Genomic DNA, 22,875 nt, shown 5'->3' on the forward strand with positions numbered 1-22,875 from the left:
AGTTTAACCTCAATAAAATAGAAATATCATTAAAATAGTATCAATTATCCTAAATAAGTTTAATGAAAGATATGATGTTTATACTAAAAATATAAAACATTATTGAGAGAAACTAAGAGAGAACTCACAAATTTGGAGATGTTTCATGTTCATGTATTAGAAGATTATTTTGTAGAGATGTCAATTATCCTTAATTTCATCTAAGATATGCAAATTAGAATGAAAGTGTGATACTCCTACACAAAGCAACATATTGGCTAAAACTAAAAAGACAATACCAGGTGTTGGTAAGAATATGGATAAACAGGAGCTCTTATAAACTGCTGATGGTAGTGTAAATTGGACAACCATTTCAGAGAACTATTGGGCAGTATTTCTAAAGTTGATCATATGTATCCCCATCCCAGCAATTTCACTCTTTATTGTATACACAACAGAAATGTGTACATAGAATTGCTAAAACACATATATGAAAACAGTTATAGTAGCAGTATTTGTAATAACCCCAATTAAAAATATTCCAAATATCCATTAAAAGTAGGATGGATAAATTAATTGTGAATTTTCATACAATGGCATACCAAAACACAATGAGATTAGTTAGACAAGCTCTACCCCATAACACGAATGAATCTTTCAAACACAGTCTTGAGAGAAAGAAAGCAGATATTAAAAGCACATATTGTATAATTCCATTTATTTTTATAAAGTCAGAATGACTGGACGGTAAGCTTTACAGGGATCTGGCAAAGTTTTGTGTCTTTATCTGGGAACTGATTAGACAGATGTGGTCACGCAAATTCATTGAGCTGTGTACATTTTCCTGTATAATAATATCATATTTCCTTTTCTTAAAAAAGCATTATATAAAGTTATATAGAGAGTTATAAAAAAGTTATATAAATTTAAAAAGTACTTAGGCAATATTTAAGCCTGATTGGCTTAAACAATTATTTTTCTCACTATTTGTGTGCATACTTTAACCTTTTTCTACCCCATTGTATCTTCAAAGCCCATCTGCAACATATCAACAAAATTAAAACATATCTGTTCTTCTGAGGAAAGGAGAATATATTTACAAAACCTCCAAACACTGCCAGGGGAGAAAGGATCTCTCAATACACCATCCTCCCAGTATTCCTCCTTCTCACCATTTTATTACCTAGAAAATTCTCTCTACCCCAGAAACAGAACAATGCCCCACCAAATCTATCTGTCACAAACACCCAGCAGGCTCAAATTCCCTGCCACCTCCTGTTCTGGCCAGGAGGCCCTCAGAGACAAAGTGAGCAGGCCTGGGCATCTGCATTGGAGCTGTTCTGACATTCCATTTCCTTTTGCAAAAGGGGCAAGGGCTCTCAGACTGAACAGAGTTGAATCCCAGCTTCTCCATTTCCTGGTTGTGTGATTGCATTCTGTCACTTAGATCCAAAGTCTGTTTTCTCATATGCAAAAAGCTGTCAGGTTCTAACAATTATTTGCAGCATTTTGGGGAGGATTGGTGATAATATCTGGAAAGTGGCTGCATATAGCATATGTTCATTAAGTAATTGATTTTATTTTCATCTACAACTGGGGAAGATGGCTATCAAAGCATGAGCTAACGATACTCCTCTGCCTAGAAGTAGAAGGTGGCCATATGGAAGTCTTTTTACTCTAGCTCAGGAGTCTATGCTAATAAGTAAGTGTTATCTGTTTCCCAGCCTGGGAAGGCTCCAGGCTAGAAAAGAGGAGACTTAGATTCTAGTTTTGGATCTGCTATTGAATAAATCTGTGACCTAGAACAAGTTCCTTAACCTCAGTCCTTTATCCATAAAATGAGAGGTTGGGTTGGATGCCTTAAAATTAGGTCGATCTGTGAATTCTTTCAAGTTTTTGCATATGTATGGGTCCTGTTCCCTACCCCACCCTCTCTAACCCCATCAGGGTGAATCTTGTGGTTTCCTAATAAGCAGAGTACATACATGTGTTTGGGGCATCAGCAGAGCTCAAAAAACAAGAGAGTAAGTAAATGAATGAATGCAGATCAGATTCCATGAACCATTTCAGGCTATGGTAACTAGAACATTTAAAAACAAATGACAACTAATGAGTTTAAGGTAATTTTGAAAAATAAAGATTTATCTTATATAGATTGGCAGAGGAGGATGGAAGGGCAGTGACGGGGATCAGGATATGCCACCCTAAAATGTCCCACTTGGCACAAGGATTATTTTGAGCTGAAGGCAGTTGAGGGTCAACAGGGACATCAAGAGTTTTCTGCCTTCAGCTTATCTGCCTAAAGGCAGAGCACAAATTTATCCCCTGTCTTGTGCAGGATGAGAGGACCAATTCTTATTACTAGAGATGGAGAACCATCATTGAGATGAGTCTGCATGAACCAACCTTACTAAAGTAGCCCTTATATTCCAGAAGTTCCCCCATATAATCCCTAGTCATCTTCCACAATTTATTCTCTCTTGAAGCCCAAACCCTTTTTCTTTCATAGGAAGAATATACAGGCTCTCAAGCCTAACCACTTCTTTGGGTTTTCATTTCTTTTCTGTGAAGCACCTATGCATGTAAAAATATTGACATCAACATAAATCATATGCCTTTTCTCCTATTAATCTGTCTTCTGTCAGTCAAATTTGCAGGCCCCCATTACTGAACCTAAGAGGATAGACAAAAAGTTTTTTTCTCCTCATCAGCAGTATACTTTCTTGGTACTCTGTGCCTCCAAAGGTCATAATTTGGCCCTGCCAGGAGGTTCTGGAAGTAGGAAGCATGAGCCTTTAACCCACCAAAAGGTCTCCATACCATGTGCATGATGATGTCCAGGAAGGTGACAGGGGATCATCTCCTGGCCCCAGGACCAGCCTACCATGCCAGCTTGAGTTAGTGCTTTGATGATTCCCTGCTTGGAAGGGTGACATTCAAGGGTGTGTGTACTTTGCCTTCCTCAGATGGGACTTAATTATTTCCCAAGGCTCCCAATATCCTCAGGCCAAACACCCACATTCATCAGCATCTAGTTGCATCAACATCAATATCTGCCCAGGTATCTTAGCACCCACCTGCACCTCCTTCCACCTATTCATAGGACTGGGACTCTCCAGTTGGATTCAGGTCCTACAAGTTGAGATATTCTGGCAGAGTAGTGATTTTTCAATCCTGGTTTTATCTGATAATTAAAAAACAATCAACTGATTAAATGAAACTTTGGAATGGTGCCTAGACATGAATATTTTTTTAAAGATACCAGATGATGTCAATCGCAATCAATGTAGAAAAGCCCTTGTGTTTAGAGTCTACTGTTGGCCAACTTGTTTGATTTTAAAAACCACTTGATGCACTTTAGAAATACAGATCCCCACGTCCTTCCCTTAGCTATTTCTATTTCACTGGAAGGAGCATCCTAAGTGATTCTTATGCTTAGGTCAGTTGGGGAAACCCTCCTCACTGATGGGGTTTGGATCCCAGAAACTCAAAGAATATTGTCTACTTCCCTACTAGACTTCATAAAGCTGGGACTTCATGCTTGACATTTGAGGGTCATTCAGCAAATATGTGTTAAACGAATGACTGACTGGCTACTTCAAAAATGAAGGAAATGATTAGGTTTTTCTAAGTCATGGAAGATTAATTTCTAATAACAGGTGTAGTTCAGACCCTAAGGAGAAGAAATGCACTTGACATCTATGATCCATCTACTATGTTCTAGCCACTACAGTAGTTGTTTTGCATAAGTAATCTCATTTAATAATAGGTCTAAAAACAAATTTTACAGGTAAGATACGCTGAGATTCATAAAGCCTTCAGAGTTACTGGATTTGCATCTTGGCTCTGCCACATTATTTGCCATGTAAACTTGAACAAGTGATTTATTCTTTGTGCTACAGCTTCCACATCTATAGACTACGTTTAATGACCTGGTCCTTGCACTGCTATTGTAAGAACTAGTGTCAAGTACCTAGAACATGGTCTGACACTCTGCAGAAGCTAATAAAATGGTAGCTATTTTTATTATTAGAAAACGTTCCTGATATCACACACATAGCTAGTAAGTAGTAGAGTCAGGATTTGAATCCAGGACTTCATGTTTCCAAACCTGTAATCTGTGGAGATCACTCTGCACTCTGGAGAAGGTGCTTTCAGAGGTGGACCAGGGACAAAGCAGGCATAGCTGAGCAAACAGAAGGGACCGGCAACTACACAGGGTTTAGATTCTCTGCAGAAAATTTTTAGCCATGAACTTGTTCCTTTGCCCCCCTCTACAGCCCAGGAGGCAATGATTGATAGGAGGGATAGCACATCCGTCTGAATCATCCCAGATTCCAATACTTTTCATTTTAAAATACGTCTGTGTCTTTTGATCATCCATACCCAGAGAAGCTCTACTTCTGGTGGAAGATAGGCAGTCGATCAGCTCAGATGTGTGAGACTATAGGGATCCAGTCAGTGTCTCTTCTAAGAGTCACCCTCTGATTTATAGAGTGTTCCACTAGTCTTGAGAAGCAATACAACAAAGTTCTCAAGGGACTGTACCCTGGCACATCAGACCTTCATGACATGTTGGGAGAGTCACTCAAAGTTTTTCTGCCTCAATTTCCTTATCTAAGGTGTGTCCAGGTTTTTGTATAATCACCAATAATTTTAGCCTCCTCCCATGCCCCAACTCCTATAAAACATGAACTGTGCAGTCATTGTCACTGTTCAATAGCTCAAGATATAATTTGGTAAATATGTAAACCTGAAATCGAGTGTAAAAAAATGAGGGGAGATAAAGCAATCACAAAGGCCAAGAATGTTGCTCCATTGAAGAAGTATGCCCTGTCCTTGGGCGCTCTCTCCCTGTTCTCTCTCTCTTTCTCTCTCTCTCTCTCTCTCTCTCTCTCACACACACACACACACACACACACACACACACAGAGTGAGAAGGAAAAAAGGAAACTCACAGTCAAAAGGAAAAAGTTTCAACTGATTTCAAGTGGAAGGAGAGGAAAGAATGAGACAAGCTAGCAAGAATTATTACGCTAGACGTATTTAGCTCATTCATCTTAAAGTGTTAGAAGCATCATTGCGTTTAATCTTTATAGCAACTTTGTGAAGTAGAATTTAAAGTTCTCCTTTTAAAGATAAGGACAGTAGCATGCAGAAAGGTTAGGCAACTTGCTCAAGGTCATCCAACTAATAAGGGCATAGCAAGGCTTTGAAACAACTGGGCAAGACATTAAGCCTGGGTGCTTTTATTTCTATATACCTCAAGCAAGAGAAGCCAGGTTTAATTTTTTATCCATCCCTTCAAGGACCAGAAATAAAAAGAGTGAGGGTGAGGGGCATGCTCTGTTCTTAAAGAGATGGTAGAAAGGAAAGGGAATTGAGCATCCCAGGTTTGGGTCTGATTCTGTCACTAAAGAGGCTGTGAAGCCTGGAGCGAGTTCCTTCCCCCACCACAGCAGTTCATTCCCTCTCTATTGGATGAGGGGCTGAGTAGAGTTTCTCTGGTGCTATGATTTCATGTCCTCCCTCCACCTCTGCACCCACATTTGCAAACTTAACTTTTCCTCCCTGCTGGGCCAAAGTGTTCAGGAGGCTCCTAACACCTGGGATCTGGTGTTTCTCCTTTTCCTGCCCTTTCTCAGATGAAGAGCTTGTGTGTTATAGAGACTTTTTAAAAATTATCATGGCCTGAATTGAGCAGCTGACACTCTGGGGGTCTCCCTAGCTTCTCAAGGTGATCAGAGAAAGGGAGGGGGTAAACCTGTTAATACTGCATGTTTCTAAATGTTACCATGCTTTAAATATGCAATCCCCACAGGAAAAGGCCTGGAGTTCAAATTCTGCATGACCTTCTTTGCAGGGTCTGGGCTTTAGGGAAGTGTGGGGGAGAGAGTAATCTATGCTGGGAAAAGCCTGATCACTGATTAGACTTAGGGCCATCAATCTTCCTTGCTCTGGAAATGACTGATGAACCTGAGGCACTGCTCAGAGTCAATGGAAGTTCCAGGGACAAATGAGAGCCAGTTTTCGATGTCAGAAGAGCAGCAGCTCCTGTGTCCTAGGTGGGGCTTTTCTGCAAGGCTGAGAAATCTGGGGTGCTGTTCTTACTGTCGGAAGCCACCCAGTTTCCCCTTGTCTTTATGTGGGAGTTTGTGGGGCCTGATTCAATAGCTAACCCAACCCCAGTGGCAGAGAAACAAAGTTTCTTCTGAGGGAAGATTAACGATTAACACAAGTCACTGTGGAAGCTTCAAATACACAGAGAGAAGAATGTCAGAGACCAAGAGAAAGTTCCAGAGTCTGGAGCCCAAGCAGGCTTGGGTGGGGTGAAGGAAGCACATGTTGAGGCACGCAGGACTGTCCAGTAAGGAGCTGATAACCAGGGAGAAGGAAATTCCTTTGCATCCAGGGCTAAGGTCCAGGGAGGGCATGAGAACACACCAGCTTCAGAGGTGGCTTCAGATCATCCAGGGCCTGAGACAAGCTGGGTGACACCAGAGGACAGACAACTAGGCAGCAGGTTCCTGCAGGGCTGAGAATCCTACCAGACATAGCAACAGGTTCCAGCAGCCCCTGCTGTCAGGGCTCCTGGGTGGGGACTTGGTGAAGAAGGGGACCTGGGCACAAACCTAGAGGAGAGCTAAGTGAGGCAAGAGTCTTGGAGCTCAGGTGTCCTGGTGGGGCTGGCACCAGCCCGGAGCAAGGTGGGGCATTAAACTGTTTGACAGTGAGGCAGGTGGGTGGGGAGGGCAGCAGGTACACTGTGTACCGGAGCTTCTAGGCAGGTTTCAAAGTAGACTCTCAGCCTGTCTTTACAAATAACGCCATTCAGTCATTCATTCATTCAGTCAGCCAGCCAGCCAGCCAGCCAGGCAGTCGGTCTATAAATGCCAGTCACCAAGCAGCTTCTGCACGCCAGGCACTGTGTGAGGATGGAGATGGATAGGGACCAATGGCTGCATGGACACAGTGGGAGGCTGACCTTGGCCTCAGGTTCACTGGCTGTGGAGCCAGCAGGTGCTCCACAAACATTTAGGTGTGTGTTTGGGTAAAGGAGGGGTTAGATGAGGAGGAGGAACCATCTGAACACCTGAGTTTTAAGGATGATTTGGATTTTCCAAAGGCCACACCTAGTAACAGTTTGTGTTTTGAGTGCAGCTCTGAATCAGAGACCTCAGTTTTATGGCAATTGCCTATGGAAAGATTGAGGGAACCCCTGTTCTTGTGTCCCCAGGAAAGAGAAGTTCCTTGGCAGGGCAGAATCTGACCATCGTGGAGTGAAGGCAAGCATGTGCAGGTGCTCAGGGGCTTATCACCTACTGCCTCCCCCAGTGCCTTCACCTCAGCTGTGTCACGATGTCACTCTGAGAGCTCCCCTAGAGCGAAAGCAACTCAGGATAGAAGCAGACATTTTAGTTTTGGCTTTTCCCTTCCTTTCTCCGACCCTGGTGCCCTGAGTAATGATAAACTGAACCTTATTTCCACCTATTCTAATTCATGCCCTTCTTACTTTAGCAGAGCTAGAAACACCCACTGTTTAGAGCCACTCAAATATTAAGCATCTTTATTTCTACTTAAAGGGATTTATCTTAGCACCGATTAAGGCTTACCCACAAGGCAAGGCTCTTTCTGTGTCCTCACGCTGTCACTCCTAAAACTTTCCAGAACTACAAGTGACCCAGCTCTCAGTCAGGAAGGGCTCCCCTTTCCACCTCTAATCAATTTTCTGCCTGGGCTTAATTTCCTCCATAGACATTAGGGAGTCACAAGGAATTAAAACAAAGGAGAACACAGGATTTCTGTGTAAAATTCTTTTCTTCCTAGGGTTTGTTTTTTTGACCTTGGTGAGTTATTTCACCTCTGGTGGCCTCAGATTCCCCAATCATCCCTTGAGGAGTGTGAACTAAAGGCTCTCTGAGATCCATAATCTCAGTGGCTCTCAACTGTGCTCTGTCTCTTACCCTGGGGAGTTCATGATCTGTAGAGGAAAAGTGGGCTTCCTCATCAGAGAGCTCCTAGAATGACAGGCATGATGGGCATATGTTAGGCTCCCCACTGAGATTTGTTGAATAAATGAGGAAATAAACACTGTGGTGGGGACACCGTTGCTTTAAGCAGGAACAGCTCTGACCCTCGGAAAGCCCCCAGGAGATACAGACCCAGAAGGAGGAGGAAAACCTTGCAGCCAGCAGGATCTCTAGGTATTGGGGCTGGAGCTGGCAGTGGGCAAAAGTGGAGAAGGATTCAGCATTGAGGACCCCATGGATGGGCTGCAGGGAGGCAGGTAGAAAAGGCTTTTGGGTTTTCAGGTGGGGGGCAGTCTAGCCTGATCAGAAAGGAGGAAAAGGCCAGGGCCAGATGTCTGGGTGGAGTGAAGGGAAAAAGTGATCCCAGAAGAAGGATTAGCCCCTGAAAGTCCCTGAAGTAGGAGAAGGGTAAAGGTGTGGTTGGTGAAGGAAAGCAGGTTTTCCCAGATTAGCAACCAGTCAGGGGGAGGAAGGTGAGAGTGGGAGAGTCATAAGTAAATTATTCTGAATGTGTGTAGTTTAATGGAATTGGGAAAAAGATGGGGGAAATGGATGGAAGGGTCTTGGACTCTGAGACAAGGGGTCTATAATCAGTCCATTTCATTATTTCTAGCTTCCACCTTCACCAAGGCAGACAAGGAGGGCCCACCTCAGCTCCTCTGCTCCCCCTCCCTTTCCCACCTATTCATGTGTGCAAGAGTGCCCTGTCCCACAGAACACGGGGAACAACCATCTCAATGACAAGGACAGCAGGTGGCAAGGCCTCAACAGGACTCAGATGTCCCCCCAGGGTTAACTCATGAAACCCTCCATGAAGCCTGCTGCTCACCCCTCCCTCAAGGCAAGCCCTGCACCTGGGTCTGAGGATGAGGGTGGCAGTGAAAATTAGGCCAGTGACATCATTTTCAGCCAGCCAGTGCCAAAAAATATCAGGTGGTGTTCATCAAAAAAGCTGAGCCAACCGGTGATGAGGATGGTAGTGTGAGTCATGTGTGACAGGTGAGGAATGAAAACAGAGTGCCCGAGAGCTTCTATTTCCTTGAGGCAGGGCTCATTCATCTTATAAAAGCCAGCTGGCCATTGCCTTCACACCAAACCCAAGGGACCACACAGCCCATTCTGCTCCGTATACCAGGTAAGTCTCTGATTGCAACAAACTGGCAATTCTAGTGTACTTTTTCATTATTAGAAATTAGCTAAAGGCAAATATGTGTAAGCAGGTTAATCCAGGGTTTCAATGGGAGATAGAGAATAGTGGAATATCTTTATTTTAAGTTAAATTACAGTCTGGATTTGAAAGGACCTTAGAGATGGTTAGGGCTCCCACCTCAGTAGATAGTCATTGAACTGGGAGTCCTGGAGAAGATTGTTCAAATGCCCATGGGAAGTTCATAGCAGAACTAGAACTCAGGCCCAGAGCACTCTCAGTAACACTGCAATTTCCCCCTGACAAGATATTTATAGAAATTTTAATTTATTAGATGGATCTCTACTGAGCATTTATTCCATTTAAGGCAGTATGCTAGGCACTTTGGACAAATCAATGCCTAACGTACTTACTTAACAAACATAAAACCTAGCAGGAAGGTAATACATATATATAAATAAATGAAATGCAAAGTAGATAGTAATTGGCATGACGGAGATGGGCAGAGAAGGGCTGTGCACTTTTGGGAGACCTTGCTCAAGGAGACCCTCCTAGGGGTGTCAAGTGATGTGAGCTATGATGGAGGGGTATTTGGACAAGCAGAGATGGGAAGAAAAGCATTTGGAAGGGACTGTGTAAGCACAGACCAGAAGCAAAACCATAGAGGCTTAGATGAATATAAAGCCATCCTATAAGTCACAGGCTTTCTACATGGTACTAGGAGAGGAAAGTGGTCTGATGCCATTTTCCAAAAGACCTAATATGCGGACCTCATGTCCCTCAGAAGCCAGCTTTAGTAGGGCATTTTTCCAGAACAGATATAAGTTGCCTTGGGTAGGAAGGGAGCCAAGAAGAGAACTCCAATAAAATGGAGCAGAAGAAATTGCCTTTTAGCTCCTCCTCTTCAAAGGGCCTGAAAATTATCCAAGCTTATTTCATTTTTAAATGTAATGGGGGAGTTAAGGGAGATGAAAGGCTTTCTCTTCTAAAGGGTCCTGAAATAAAATCTGTTTGGCATTGAATTTGTATCCATCTTTCTTTAATTGAATCACTGTGTCAGCTTTCTGTCTCTAGAAAAAAACACATTTGAAGCATGAATTCTCAGCAGCAGAAGCAGCCTTGCACCCCACCCCCTCAGCCTCAGCAGCAGCAGGTGAAACAACCTTGCCAGCCTCCACCCCAGGAACCATGCATCCCCAAAACCAAGGAGCCCTGCCACCCCAAGGTGCCTGAGCCCTGCCACCCCAAAGTGCCTGAGCCCTGCCAGCCCAAGGTTCCAGAGCCCTGCCAGCCCAAGGTGCCTGAGCCCTGCCCTTCAACGGTCACTCCAGCACCAGCCCAGCAGAAGACCAAGCAGAAGTAATGTGGTCCACAGCCATGCCCTTGAGGAGCTGGCCACTGGATACTGAACACCCTACTCCATTCTGCTTATGAATCCCATTTGCCTATTGACCCTGCAGTTAGCATGCTGTCACCCTGAATCATAATCGCTCCTTTGCACCTCTAAAAAGATGTCCCTTACCCTCATTCTGGAGGGCTCCTGAGCCTCTGCGTAAGGCTGAACGTCTCACTGACTGAGCTAGTCTTCTTGTTGCTCGGGTGCATTTGAGGATGGATTTGGGGAAGGATCAAGTGAACCATCCCTAGTCTTCCTTCAATAAATAACTTTTAACTCCACATCTGGCTGTGCGTCACTGGTTGATTCAACCTCTGTTGCCTTCTCAGCGTGAAGTAGGAACTAACACTGTGAAGGCTGGTTGTGAGGTCTGTAGTCAGAAGGTGGCCGATCCTGACACTGAGAATGTGTGTGAATGTGTATGGCTGCTGTACACACAGGACACTCCTGGGCTGGAAGTGGGAGTATGTTCAGGGCCACCAACCCAATCTGTTACTTTGGGTAGGCAGAGCTAGAGCAAGGCTTTTTTCTTTTACCTTAATGTTTATATCTTAATGACTTGCAGTGAGTCACATGTGAGTGTAGATGGTGCCCGCTTCAAGCCATCATCATCTTTGTTTAGTTGATTCCTTTTTAAAAATTATTCCAAAGAAACAGTGCTTGTGCATAGTCCAGCCTAGTGATCTGTTCTGCACTCATCTTCCTTTTCTGATGCCCCCAATACATGGAGCCAAGGACTTGAACACTCACACCATACCCACAAACACATATTCACTCCCACACTCCCACACAGGGATATACTCGCATGCACAGACATTCAAACACACACACACATACGTAGATCTCCAAAATCCCAACACTCACACACACACACTCCTTCACACACTTGGATCTCCCAAACCACCCAACACTGACATACACACACACATGCACTTTCTCTCTCTCTCTCTCTCTGTCTCTCTCTCCCTCTCTCTAACTTAATCACCTTAGTCCTATGTTTTTTCATCGAGTGCCTGCTGTGAAGATACCTGATGCTGCAGCAGGAAGAAGGAGAGTTGAATCCATACCACCTGCCCTAGAAGAACCCTAAGAGAGGTGATCTTCAGTCTCCTTCCCATACAAACATAAGCTCTCAAAAAAGTACACACATGCTCCTCTCTCCACACACACATGCATGAGCACGCACACACTGTACTTTTGTAAGACATAAAAGTTGAATATTTTATCCAATAACTGCCGAATAGACACATTTGTCTCATCAGCACATAAAATATTACAGACCACATGTTATACCACAAACAAATCTCAACAAATTTTAAAAATCAAAACCATATCAAGGATATTTTCTTACAACAATAAAATAAAACTAGAAATCAATAAATAATAAGAAAAACTTTAGAATTTTTGCAAATATATGGAAATTAAACAATATGCTCCTGAATGATCAATGGGTCAATGAAGAAATGAAAAAAAAATTTAAATTTAAAAATTAAAAATTTTTTGAAACAAATAAAAATAGAAATACAAGATACCAAAACCTGTAAAACATAGCAAAAGCAATAGTAAGAGGAAAGGGGTTTTTTTTTTAGCAATAAATGCCTACATCAAAAAAAGAAAAAAAAAAGCTTTAAATGAAGAACTTAATATGCATACCAAAGAACTAGTAAGCAAGAACAAACCAAACCCCCAAAAAAATAAAGATAGAGCAGAAATAAATAAAATAAAAACTAAAAAGCTTTACAAAAGATTAATGAAACAAAAAGTGGATTTTTTTGAGAGAAGACTCAAATAAATAAAATCACAATTGATAAAAGAGACATTACAACTGATATCACAGAAATGCAAAACATCCTAAGAGACTATTATAAATAGCAATACACAAACAAATGGAAAACCTAGAGGAAATGAATAAATTCCTGGGCACATACAACATACCAAGATTGAACCAAGATCAAACAGAAACCTTGAATAGACCAATAATGAGTAATGAGATTGAAGTAGCTCTAAAAAGTTTCCCAACTAAGAAAAGCCCAGTGCTAAATGGAATTACTGATGAATTCTACCAAATACTTAAAGAAGAACTAATACTAATTCTTCTCAAACTATTTCAGAAAATTGGAGAGAGAATTCTTCTAAAATCATTCTGTAAGGCTAGCATTATACTAATATGAAAATAAGACTAGAACATGAAAAAAACAGAAAACTGCAGGCCAAAATCCCTAATGAACATAGATGCAAGTCCTTAAAAATGCTAGCAAACCAAATTCAACAGCACACTAAAAAGATCATCTACTATGATCAAGTGAGATTCATTCCAGGGATGCAAGGATGGTTCAACATATGCAAAACAATAAATGTAATACATCATATTAACAGAAAGAAAGACAAAAAACTTATGATCATTTCAATAGACACAGAAAAAAAAATTTCACAAAATTCAACATATTTTAATAGTGAAAATTCTCTACAAATTAGGTATAGAAGGTACATACCTCAGTGCAATAAAGTCCATATGTGACAAACCCACAGCTAACATCATACAGAATGGGGAAAAGCTGAAAGCTTTTTCTCTAAGATCTGGAACAAGACAAGGATGCCCACCCTCACCACTTCTATTAAACATAATACTGGAAGTCCTAGCTAGAGCACTGAGGTAAGAGAAAGAAATAAAAGCCATCCAAAATGGAAAGAAGGAAGTCAGGTTATCCCTGTTTGCAGATGACATGATCATATATAGTGAAAAACCTAAAGATTCCACCAAAACACTCTATGAACTGATAAATGAACAGTAAAGTCACAGGATACAAAATAAACATGCAAAAATCAGTAGCATTTCTATACATCAATACTGAGCTACCTGGAAAAGAAATCAAGAAAACAATCCCATTTAAAATAGCCATAACAGTGCCTAGGAATAAATTTAACAAAGGAAGTGAAAGGTCTATAAAATGAAAATTGTATTGCTCTGATGAAAGAAATGAGAGGAGGATACAGTAAAATGGAAAGATATCTTATGTTCATGGACTAGAAGAATTAATATTGTTAAAATGACCATACCACCCAGAGCAATCGATAGATTCAATACAATCCTTCTCGAAAGTCCATGATATTTTCAAAGAAATAGAAAAAACAATCCTTAAATTCACATGGAATCACAGAAGACCCAAAATTGTCAAAGCAATATTGAACAAAAAGAACAAACCTTGAAGCATCACACTACCTTACTTCAAAATATGCTACAAAGCTATAGTAACAAAAAAAGGCATGGTATTGGCAGAAAAAAACAAACACTAAAACCAATGTAACAGATAAAGCACTCATAAATAAATCCACGTATTCACATCCAACTGGCTCTCAAAAATGGCCCCAAGAACATAAACTGGGGAAAAGACAATCTCTTCAATAAATTATCTGGGAAAACATGGCATCCATACGCAGAGGAATGAAAATAGATTCCTGTCTTTCACCACATACAAAAATCAACTCGAGATGGATTAAAAACTTAAATATAATATGAAACTACAAGAAGAAAACATTGGGGAAATGCTGCAGGACATTGGTGTGGACAAAGATTTTTGGAGAAGAACTCAAAAGCATAGGCAACAAAAGCAAAAATAGACAAATGGAATTATATCAAGCTAAAAAGCTTTTGAGCAGCAAAGAAAGCAATTAACAAAATGAAGAGTCAGCCTACAGAATGGGAGGAAATATTTGCAGACTATCCATCCAACAAGAGATTAATAACCAGAATACATAAGAAGCTCAAACTATTTGCTAGCAAAAAAAATTGATTTGAGCAAAAGACATGAGCAGACATTTCACAAAGGAAGACATACAAATGGCCCAAAAGATATATTTAAAAATGCTCAGTGTCACTAATCATCAGGAAAATGCAAATCAAAACCACAATGATATATTATTTCAAACCAGTTAGAATGGCTATTATCAAAAAGACAAAAAAAATGCTTCCGACGATGAAAATAAAGACAAGCACTAGTACACTATTAGTGGAATGTAAATTAGTACAGCCACTACGGAAAACAGTATGGCAGGTCCTCAAAACACTAAAAATAAAACTACCAGACCCACTTCTTGGTATATATCCAAAAGAAAGGAAATCAGTATATTGAAGAGGTCTCTGCACTCCCTTGTTTATAGCAACACTACCCACAATAGCCAAGATATGGAATCAACCTGTGTCCATCAACAGATGAATATATAAGGAAAATATTGCATATATACACAATGGAACATTATTCAACCACAAAATAATACTTAAATCCTATCATTTGAAACAAAATAGTTGAGCCTGGAGGACATTACCTTTAGTGAATAAGCCAGGCACAGAAAGATGTATTTCACATGTTCTCACTCATAGGTGAAAGCTAAATAAGTTTATCTCATAGAAGTAGAGACTAGAATAGTGGTAACTAGAGGCTGGGAAGGGTGGGGGAGAGGGAGGATAGGGAGATGTTGGCTAATAGATTCAAAAATATAGCTAAATTGATGGAATAAATTCGATTGTTCTATAGCACTGTAGGGTAACCATAGTTAACAATTATTTATTCTATATTTTCAAATAGCTGGAAGAGAGGATTTTGAATGTTCACACAAAGAAATGATGTTTGAGGTGATACATGTACTAATTATTCTGATTTTATCATTATATATTGCATACATGTATCACAATATCACACTGTATCTAATAAATATGTACATTTATATCAATTAAAAATAATTTTTTAAAAGGCAAACTATCTCTACCCCTATCTCCAATGCAACATGCCATAGTGAAACAGGGCTGAAAAGCTTCAATAAAAACTTCCATGTGAAGGATGAAGAATGGGAATCACGATCTGCAGTGAATGTGAAATCCTACCTAACAAGGATATCAAGCCCCTCCTCCCCTTGAGTTTGCTGTCTGGAAGGCACTCCCTGGTCTACTGTTCTCTGTGCCATATCAGTATCTTCTGTGCTCATTAACATCGATGGCCATGCTTGCAAATGCTTAGATATCTTAAGAGAACCCTTGGACAGAATTTACTTTACAGAATTTGAAAAAATTTGAAAGTTTTTACTGAGTTTTTCCTGACCTTCTCTATTCTTGCATGTTGGGTAGGGGCTGTGGGTGAAGATAACTGGTCTTTTAATATCATAATTTTCTGGAACAGGAAGAGTTACATAGGACCTGATTGAGAAGATTGTATATCTTGAACGGGTGAAAATGAAGCTCTTTTGTGGGTGCTATAAAGCATATTAGCAGAGTACTGTTTCCCAAACTTTAACATCTGTAGTTGTGCATTGTCGCAATGCACATGTCTCATAATTAGTTTGTATTTTGCTTTATCAAAACTGATAAGAACTGATGAAAAAATTAGACTGGCCTTAGGTTAAAAATGACCATGAAATAAGAGCATCGATATGCAAGTTATAAATTATTTTAATATAGATTAAAATACGTATCATAACAGCAATTAAACATGTTATTATTTATCAACTAAGAATAGTCTTAGTTGTTTATAGCAACACTACCAACAGTAGCCAAGATATGGAATCAAATAAAGACTCAGACTACTCTTAGTTGATAAATAATAACATGTTAATTGCTATAGTCTACATAAGAACTGATGCCTGCTAATGGACAATATTCTGGACAAATACTATTCCTATTCTCGAAAGACATTTATACACGACTTTAACCGTTATGTGGTAACTCTTCCTCTGTAGGGCAGAAGCTCTCAAAAATAGAAATATCTGAAGATTGTAGGAACATTTGGGCACTTGAAGAGACATTCTGTAGTGTACTTTACTTTGAGCTAATTGCTTCTGCAGACTACGGAGCTCAAAGTAGAATCCATAGGAGAGATATCATTGAATATTCCCTGTGCTAGGCAGATACCGCAGAACCCTCAGCCTCTAGACAAAAACCCCATAATTCTTCCCTATCCCTTTTACTCCTTCACTCATTCCTGCCTCTCCACTCTGGCCTCTGTACACGCTGGGCATGCTTCTGACTTCAGGTTGTTTTATTAGAAATTCTCTTTACCTAAATATTTATTTTTCCAGACATCCATATGTCTCAACTCCCTCACCTCTTTCTTTCTCTGCCAAAATGTCAGCTTCTCAATGAGGCCTAACTTGGCAGTACATTCAAGTCATAACAACCCAGTCCACCCATTCTCATTCTTGCAATTACTCACACTACTTTATTTTCCATAGCAGTAATATATATTTTTTGCTTTATAATTCTATGTATTATTTATTGCCGTTCAACCTCCAATCATTGCCACTAACATGTAAGCTCCAGGAGGAAAGGGAATGTCATTTTTCTTCACTCATGTGTTCCAATTAGTGGGACACTGTGGGTATACAGAAAATTTTATGAATCAACACATTAAAGAGAGAGCTTCATTGACCTAAAATTAAAGAATTCTCTAATTGTCCAGTTGCTACAATCATTCAAACTGCCAGGTGAAGTGGGACCTCCAATCCTGAGCCTTTGCCCCAGTGTAGCAACATGACCACCTGATCCTTTTAGGAATTCCAGAGGGTTTTTTTGTCAGGTGGGAAATCACCACCCAGCCTAGTATAGGCTATTCCACTTCTTTATAACTGGGGCTGCCTGACCGTATAACTGGATATTCTTCATAGCTACCACTCTTAAAATCAGATTCCAGATCCGCATTAGAGAAGCAAGTAAGTCAGAACTCTTGGTATTCATGTCTTTTTACATTTTATTTTTATTATTTTTGTTTGTTTGTTTGTTTGCTTTTTGAGACCAAGTTTTGCTCTGTCACTCAGACTGGAGTGCAGTGGCACAATCTCTGCTCACTGCAACCTCCAACTCCAGGGCTCCCACCTCAGCCTGCCATGTAGCTGAGATTACAAGCATGTGCCACCACACAAAATACAAAAATTAAAAAAAAAAATTATATTTTTAGTAAAGATGCAGTTTCACCATGTTGCCCAGGCTGGTCTCGAACTCCCGGCCTCAAATGATTCACCCGCCTTGGCCACTGAAGTGCTGGGATTATAGGTGTGAGCCACCACACCCAGCCCATGTCTTTCTTTTTTCTCAAGAAAATATACAAAAAATGTCAGAATATGAGATAAGAAAGTTCTCCTATGGCAGCATCTGGATCATTTTCCAGACCACTTTAGTTTCATGGTACGTAATGATGATAATTCTTCTGAACACAATTCAGAATTTGAACCAACATTTATTGTTTCAGGAAAGCAGAATTTCCTTTGAATGATGGATAAGAATGGTGAAAAAAATGAAAATGGTGAAAAAAAAACGCCAAATAAGAAGTCAGAAGCCATTTATTGTCATAATTATAGATTTAGATGATTAGAGACTATCCTCTTAGATTAGAGAATTTCCCAGCATTATACGAGCATTGATTTATCTTACTTCTACTAACGCCTTCACCTATTTCCTTTAGACTCACCTGAGTTTGAGTAAAAGCAAGGGCAGCGCAGCCTTTTCCACTGCCACCTGTAATTCTACCTGCAAGGTCCCCTCCAATGCTTAGAGACATGGACCCGAAGTGCCCAGTACCTTACACACCTCCACGGAGCTCACCTTGCCAGTGTCAGGACTTGTTCATTCAGCATCCACCTATGGAGTGCCCGACTCTGAAAAGCCCACCTCCCCAAACTGTCTGCCGCACAGTATTCACCCAGCAGTACCCACCACCCACCGCCACAGTGCCAGCCAGTGGGAAGGCGGTTCTGTCTGCCTAGCAGCCCTCCAAAACGCAAGAAAATCCTCAAAACTTGCAGGACCAAAACACAACACACAGAAATGGTGCTTTCCTTTGGGCGAGTTCCAAATGAACACATTTTCTTCAAAGCCTGTTATGGCTTGAGGTGACATCATCCTTAGGTTACGATAGTTGGATTTTTATATCTTCCTCTGCATCCAATCTGTTGCATTATGTTATTTTGGCTGAAGTATACAAAGAAAATCTGGTCTCATAAAGATGTAGTTTGCAAAATGGATTAATAACTTTTTACATAATTATGGATATTCTTTGACACCATGCCAAATTCAGCAAGTAGTACATACTTTCTTAAAGATTAGTTGCAACATGGAATCTCAAACCACATTAACTAATTGTTCATATTCTGTTACATTAAAATCCATTTGTCAGAAAATAAAAAATAAAATAATCTCTACAGAAAATGTGATTTTCTATGTAGACAATGCCAAGAGATTGTCTAACATCTTAGAAATAAGAAGTAAGTTCAGCATGTCACAGTATACAAGATTAACACACAAAAAAAATTGCATTTCTACATGCATACGATGAAGTAAAAACTGAAAAAAATGCTTATTTAAAATTTCTCTATAGAAAGTTAAACACTATACATTTTAAAATACGTACAAGAGTTATATGGTGAATATAAACTCAATGGGTAAAAGAAAGTGAAGAACACCTAATTGGAGAGACCACTGTGCTTATCTGTTAGATGATTCAACATGGTAAAGATGTCAATGCTTTTAAAATTGATCTATAGCTTTAATACAATTCTTATGAAAAATTAAAATGGCCTAGAATAGCCAAAACATTAAAAGCAAGAATAGAATAGATTCATTCTTTCCAATATTAAGGATTACTCTATACCTCCATTAATCAAGGTGGCACAGCACTAGGGAAAGGACAGACACACAGATCAATGGAGCAGAAAACATACACTCTGAAATCCACACAAATGTTCCAATTATTTTTTTAATACAAGGTTAAAGCAATACAATGAAGGAGAGGCCACTTTTTCAATAAATAAATGGTGTTAGAACAATTGTACTGCCATAGGTAAAATATTTAACTTCAATCTAAACATTACTCCTTACACAAAAATTAACTCAAAATGGACAATGGGCTTAATTAAAAACATGAAACTATATTTTTTACAAACAGGAAAAATCTTTGAGACTTAGGACTAAGTAAAGACTTTTTAGACTTGGCACCAAAAGCACAATTCCAAAAAGAAAACAAAAATGATAAGTTGGAATCCATCAAAATTAAATAATTTCTGCTTTGTAAAAGACCCTGTTAAGACAATAGAAAGACAAATTATAGACAGGTAGAAAATATTTCCAGATCACTTATTCAACAAAGGACTTATATACAGAATACATAAAATGCCCTCAAAACTTAACAATAAAAAATCCCATTAGAAAATGTACGAATGTCATGAGCAGACATTTCATGGAAGACATACAGATGGCATATAAACACACAGAAAGACATTCAACATCCTCAGCCATTAAAAATCATACATTACAACCACAACGATGCATCATTATGGTGAGGACATGAAAAACTGAATCTTTCAGACATTGCTTGTGGGATGTAAAATAGTACAACCTCTCTGGAAAATAATTTTGTAGTTTCTTTTAAAATTATGGTGGACTTAGTATGGGACCCATTAATTATACTCTTGGGCATATATCTCAAAGAAATAAAATTTATTTATTTCCAGATACAAGATTGCACATGAATGTCTAAAGCAGCTTTATTAGAAATAACCCAAAACCAGGCCAGGCATAATGGTTCATGCCTATAAATCCAGCACTTTAGGAGGCGTAGGTGGGAGGATCATTTGAGCCCAGGAGTTTGAGACCAGCCTGGGCAACATAATGAGATCTCATCTCTATGAAAAATAAAAAAATTAGCCGGGCTTAGTGGTACACACATGTGGTCCCAGCTACTCAGGAGTCTGTGACAAGAAGCTCATTTGAGCCCAGAAGGTCTGCAGTAAGCTATGATCACACCATGGCACCTCCAGCCTGGGTGACAGAGTGAGACCCTGCCAAAAAGAAAAGAAAAAGAAAGAAATAATTGGAAACTGGAATCTTGCCAAATGTTCTTCAAAGGAGAAATGGTTAAACAAACTGTGGTACATCCATACCATGGAATACTATTTAACAACAAAAAAGAACAAACTATTGATAGAAATGATTGCCTGAATAAACCTTAAGAAAATTATACTGAGTGGAGAAAAACACCAATTTCAAAAAGATACAAACTGCAAGATTCCATGTATGTAATATTCATGAAATAACATAATTGTAGAAATGACAAACATTATTAGTTACTAGTGGTTCGAGATACAGGGGGAGAAGGGAGAGTGTGGCTGTAAAAGGGTAAATGAGGGAGTCTAGAGGTGATGATAAGGTCTTGTCTCTTGATGAAGGTGGTGGTTACACAAAGCTACATATGTGATAAAATTTCACAGAGCCATACACACACACACACAAATGAGTGCATATATAACTGGTGAAATCTGAGTTAGCTCAATGGATTGTACCAGTATTAATTTTCTGGGTTTGATGTTGTTCTACACTTATGCAAGATGTTAACACTGGAGTAGGCTGGGTGAAGGTGTACGTTTCTTTTATGCTGTTGTGAATCTACAATTACTTCAAAATTAAAAGTAAATACTTATAGCAACAGATTGAATGCAGAAACTAACATGAGAATCTAGCAAAATATTGATGAGATATGCAAAAATGGAAAACAATTGAATAAATTGATTACAAAGTATTAGAGGAAGTATTACATGTGGAAATGATATAAAACTTCAAAATAAAATTTTTACATTTTAAATTAATTGCTCATATTGCACTCTTACCTAACATCTGTACCTAATTTGGTAGCATCACAAATTGGTCATTTTGAAAATATTGGTTCACTGAGTTATATAGATCTTACAAATGTTGACACAGTTCTTTATACAATAGGAAAAGATCGCATTCATTAATCCACCACCAATCTCATGAGAAAATTAATTCCATATTGGGAAGCTGTGAAACTGGTAATGAACTAATTGATACATTGCAATGAACTAATTGAGTTTTTCAATATTATAACTTTTGTGTAAAAGTTCACATTACCTCACTGGCAATAAATACTGTACCAGTTTTCTACTGTTGTATAATGAATTACCACAAATTTAGCATCTTAACACATATTTCATAGTTTCCATGGTCAGGGGCTCAGGTTTCACAACAAGGCTGCAATAAAGGTGTCAGCCTGGCTGCATTCTCATCTGGAGCCTTCACTGGGAAAGAATCCACTTCCAAGCTCATTCAAGCTGTTGGCTGAATTCATTCTCTTGCAGCTCAATGACCAGGGGCTCCAACTTTTTGCAGGCTTCCGACTAAAGTCCTCCCTCAGGTTTCAGAATGCACCTGTGGTGCCTAGAGGCAGCCCACAATGAAGCAAACATCCCCCCTCTATGGGCCCTTATATCATCAAGCCTGCAAGGAGAGTCCCTTCCTCCAGCCTGCCTGCTGTCAGTCTTGCCTAGATCACATAATCATGGAGTGATACCCTGTCACGTTTGTTACAGCCTGTTGATTAGAAGGAGGCCAACCTCAGCGGCTCATGCCTATAATCCTAGTGCTTTGGGAGCCTGAGGCTAGAGAACAATCTGAGCCCAGAAGTTTGAGACTGCAGTGAGCTGTGGTTGTGCCACGGCACTCCAGCCTGGGTAACAGAGCAAGACCCTGTCTGAAAAAACAAACAAACAAACAAACAATCAAACAAACAAAAAAACAGCAGGTCACACACAGGATTATATAAGGGCATAAATGCCAGGAAGGAGGCCACTGGGGCTCCCTTAGGGTCTTACTGACACAAATACTGTCTGTTGTTTTCCTTGAAATGAAAGGCTCATTCAGTTCGTTTTCAAGGAAATGTCTGCCAAATACCCAAGTCTGAGTAAACACAGTTTGCCTGGCAGTTGTTCTTTCAAGTAAAATTTTGTTTGATAAAAAACAGCTAGTTCAGATCAAAATTCAGTCTCACAAATGCTTTTTCTAGAGACAGCCATTGTACTTTGAAATGCAGCAAAATAACTTTATGTGTGTTTCCCATTTGATAACAAATAATTTCTAAAGGGTGAAGATTTTTTTAATGACTTTTATTCAAACAGGAAGATTGAACAGGGCAAGTGATCTGCACAGTGAGGGTCTCTATGGTTCTCAGATTCAATATTTTTTTGAAGCTGCCATGCCTATTTGAGGATATGAGCTTTTTTGTAAATATCAGATTTCTGCATTCAAAAATGACAGACAAATAACCGGTTCTTAATATCTGTGAGGACAGGGCATGCAAGTAGATAATAAGATGAACTTTTTTCTCTTTGTAATTTGGTCTTATTTCTCAAATCCTCAGTAGTCATTTTAGCCCTCCTTCCAACTAATCCTTCTCTAGAGTAATACAGCCTGGCAGGATACTTTATTGAGACAGTAATTGTATAGTTTCTAGGTGTTCCCCATCTCAAGATTTTGTATGTTACCTTGCCTCAGG

The 22,875-nt window shown here is 39.7% G+C and overlaps 1 protein-coding gene across 2 annotated transcripts; it reads left to right on the forward strand.

Annotated features, from left to right (window-relative positions):
* The first annotated feature begins 9,099 nt into the window (after positions 1 to 9,099).
* On the forward strand, positions 9,100 to 10,833 carry SPRR1A (small proline rich protein 1A). Of its 2 annotated transcripts, none has more exons than NM_001199828.2 (2): positions 9,100 to 9,144; positions 10,217 to 10,833. In NM_001199828.2, exon 2 carries the CDS (start codon positions 10,250 to 10,252, stop codon positions 10,517 to 10,519), a length of 270 nt encoding a protein of 89 aa, NP_001186757.1. In that variant the 5' UTR covers positions 9,100 to 9,144; positions 10,217 to 10,249; the 3' UTR covers positions 10,520 to 10,833. The 2 variants fall into 2 exon arrangements, with proteins under 2 accessions (NP_001186757.1, NP_005978.2); NM_005987.4 differs by having other exon boundaries at positions 10,231 to 10,833.
* The last annotated feature ends 12,042 nt before the right edge of the window (positions 10,834 to 22,875 follow it).

This window comes from Homo sapiens, chromosome 1, assembly GCF_000001405.40.
Source record: "Homo sapiens chromosome 1, GRCh38.p14 Primary Assembly".
Lineage (NCBI taxonomy): Eukaryota > Metazoa > Chordata > Mammalia > Primates > Hominidae > Homo > Homo sapiens.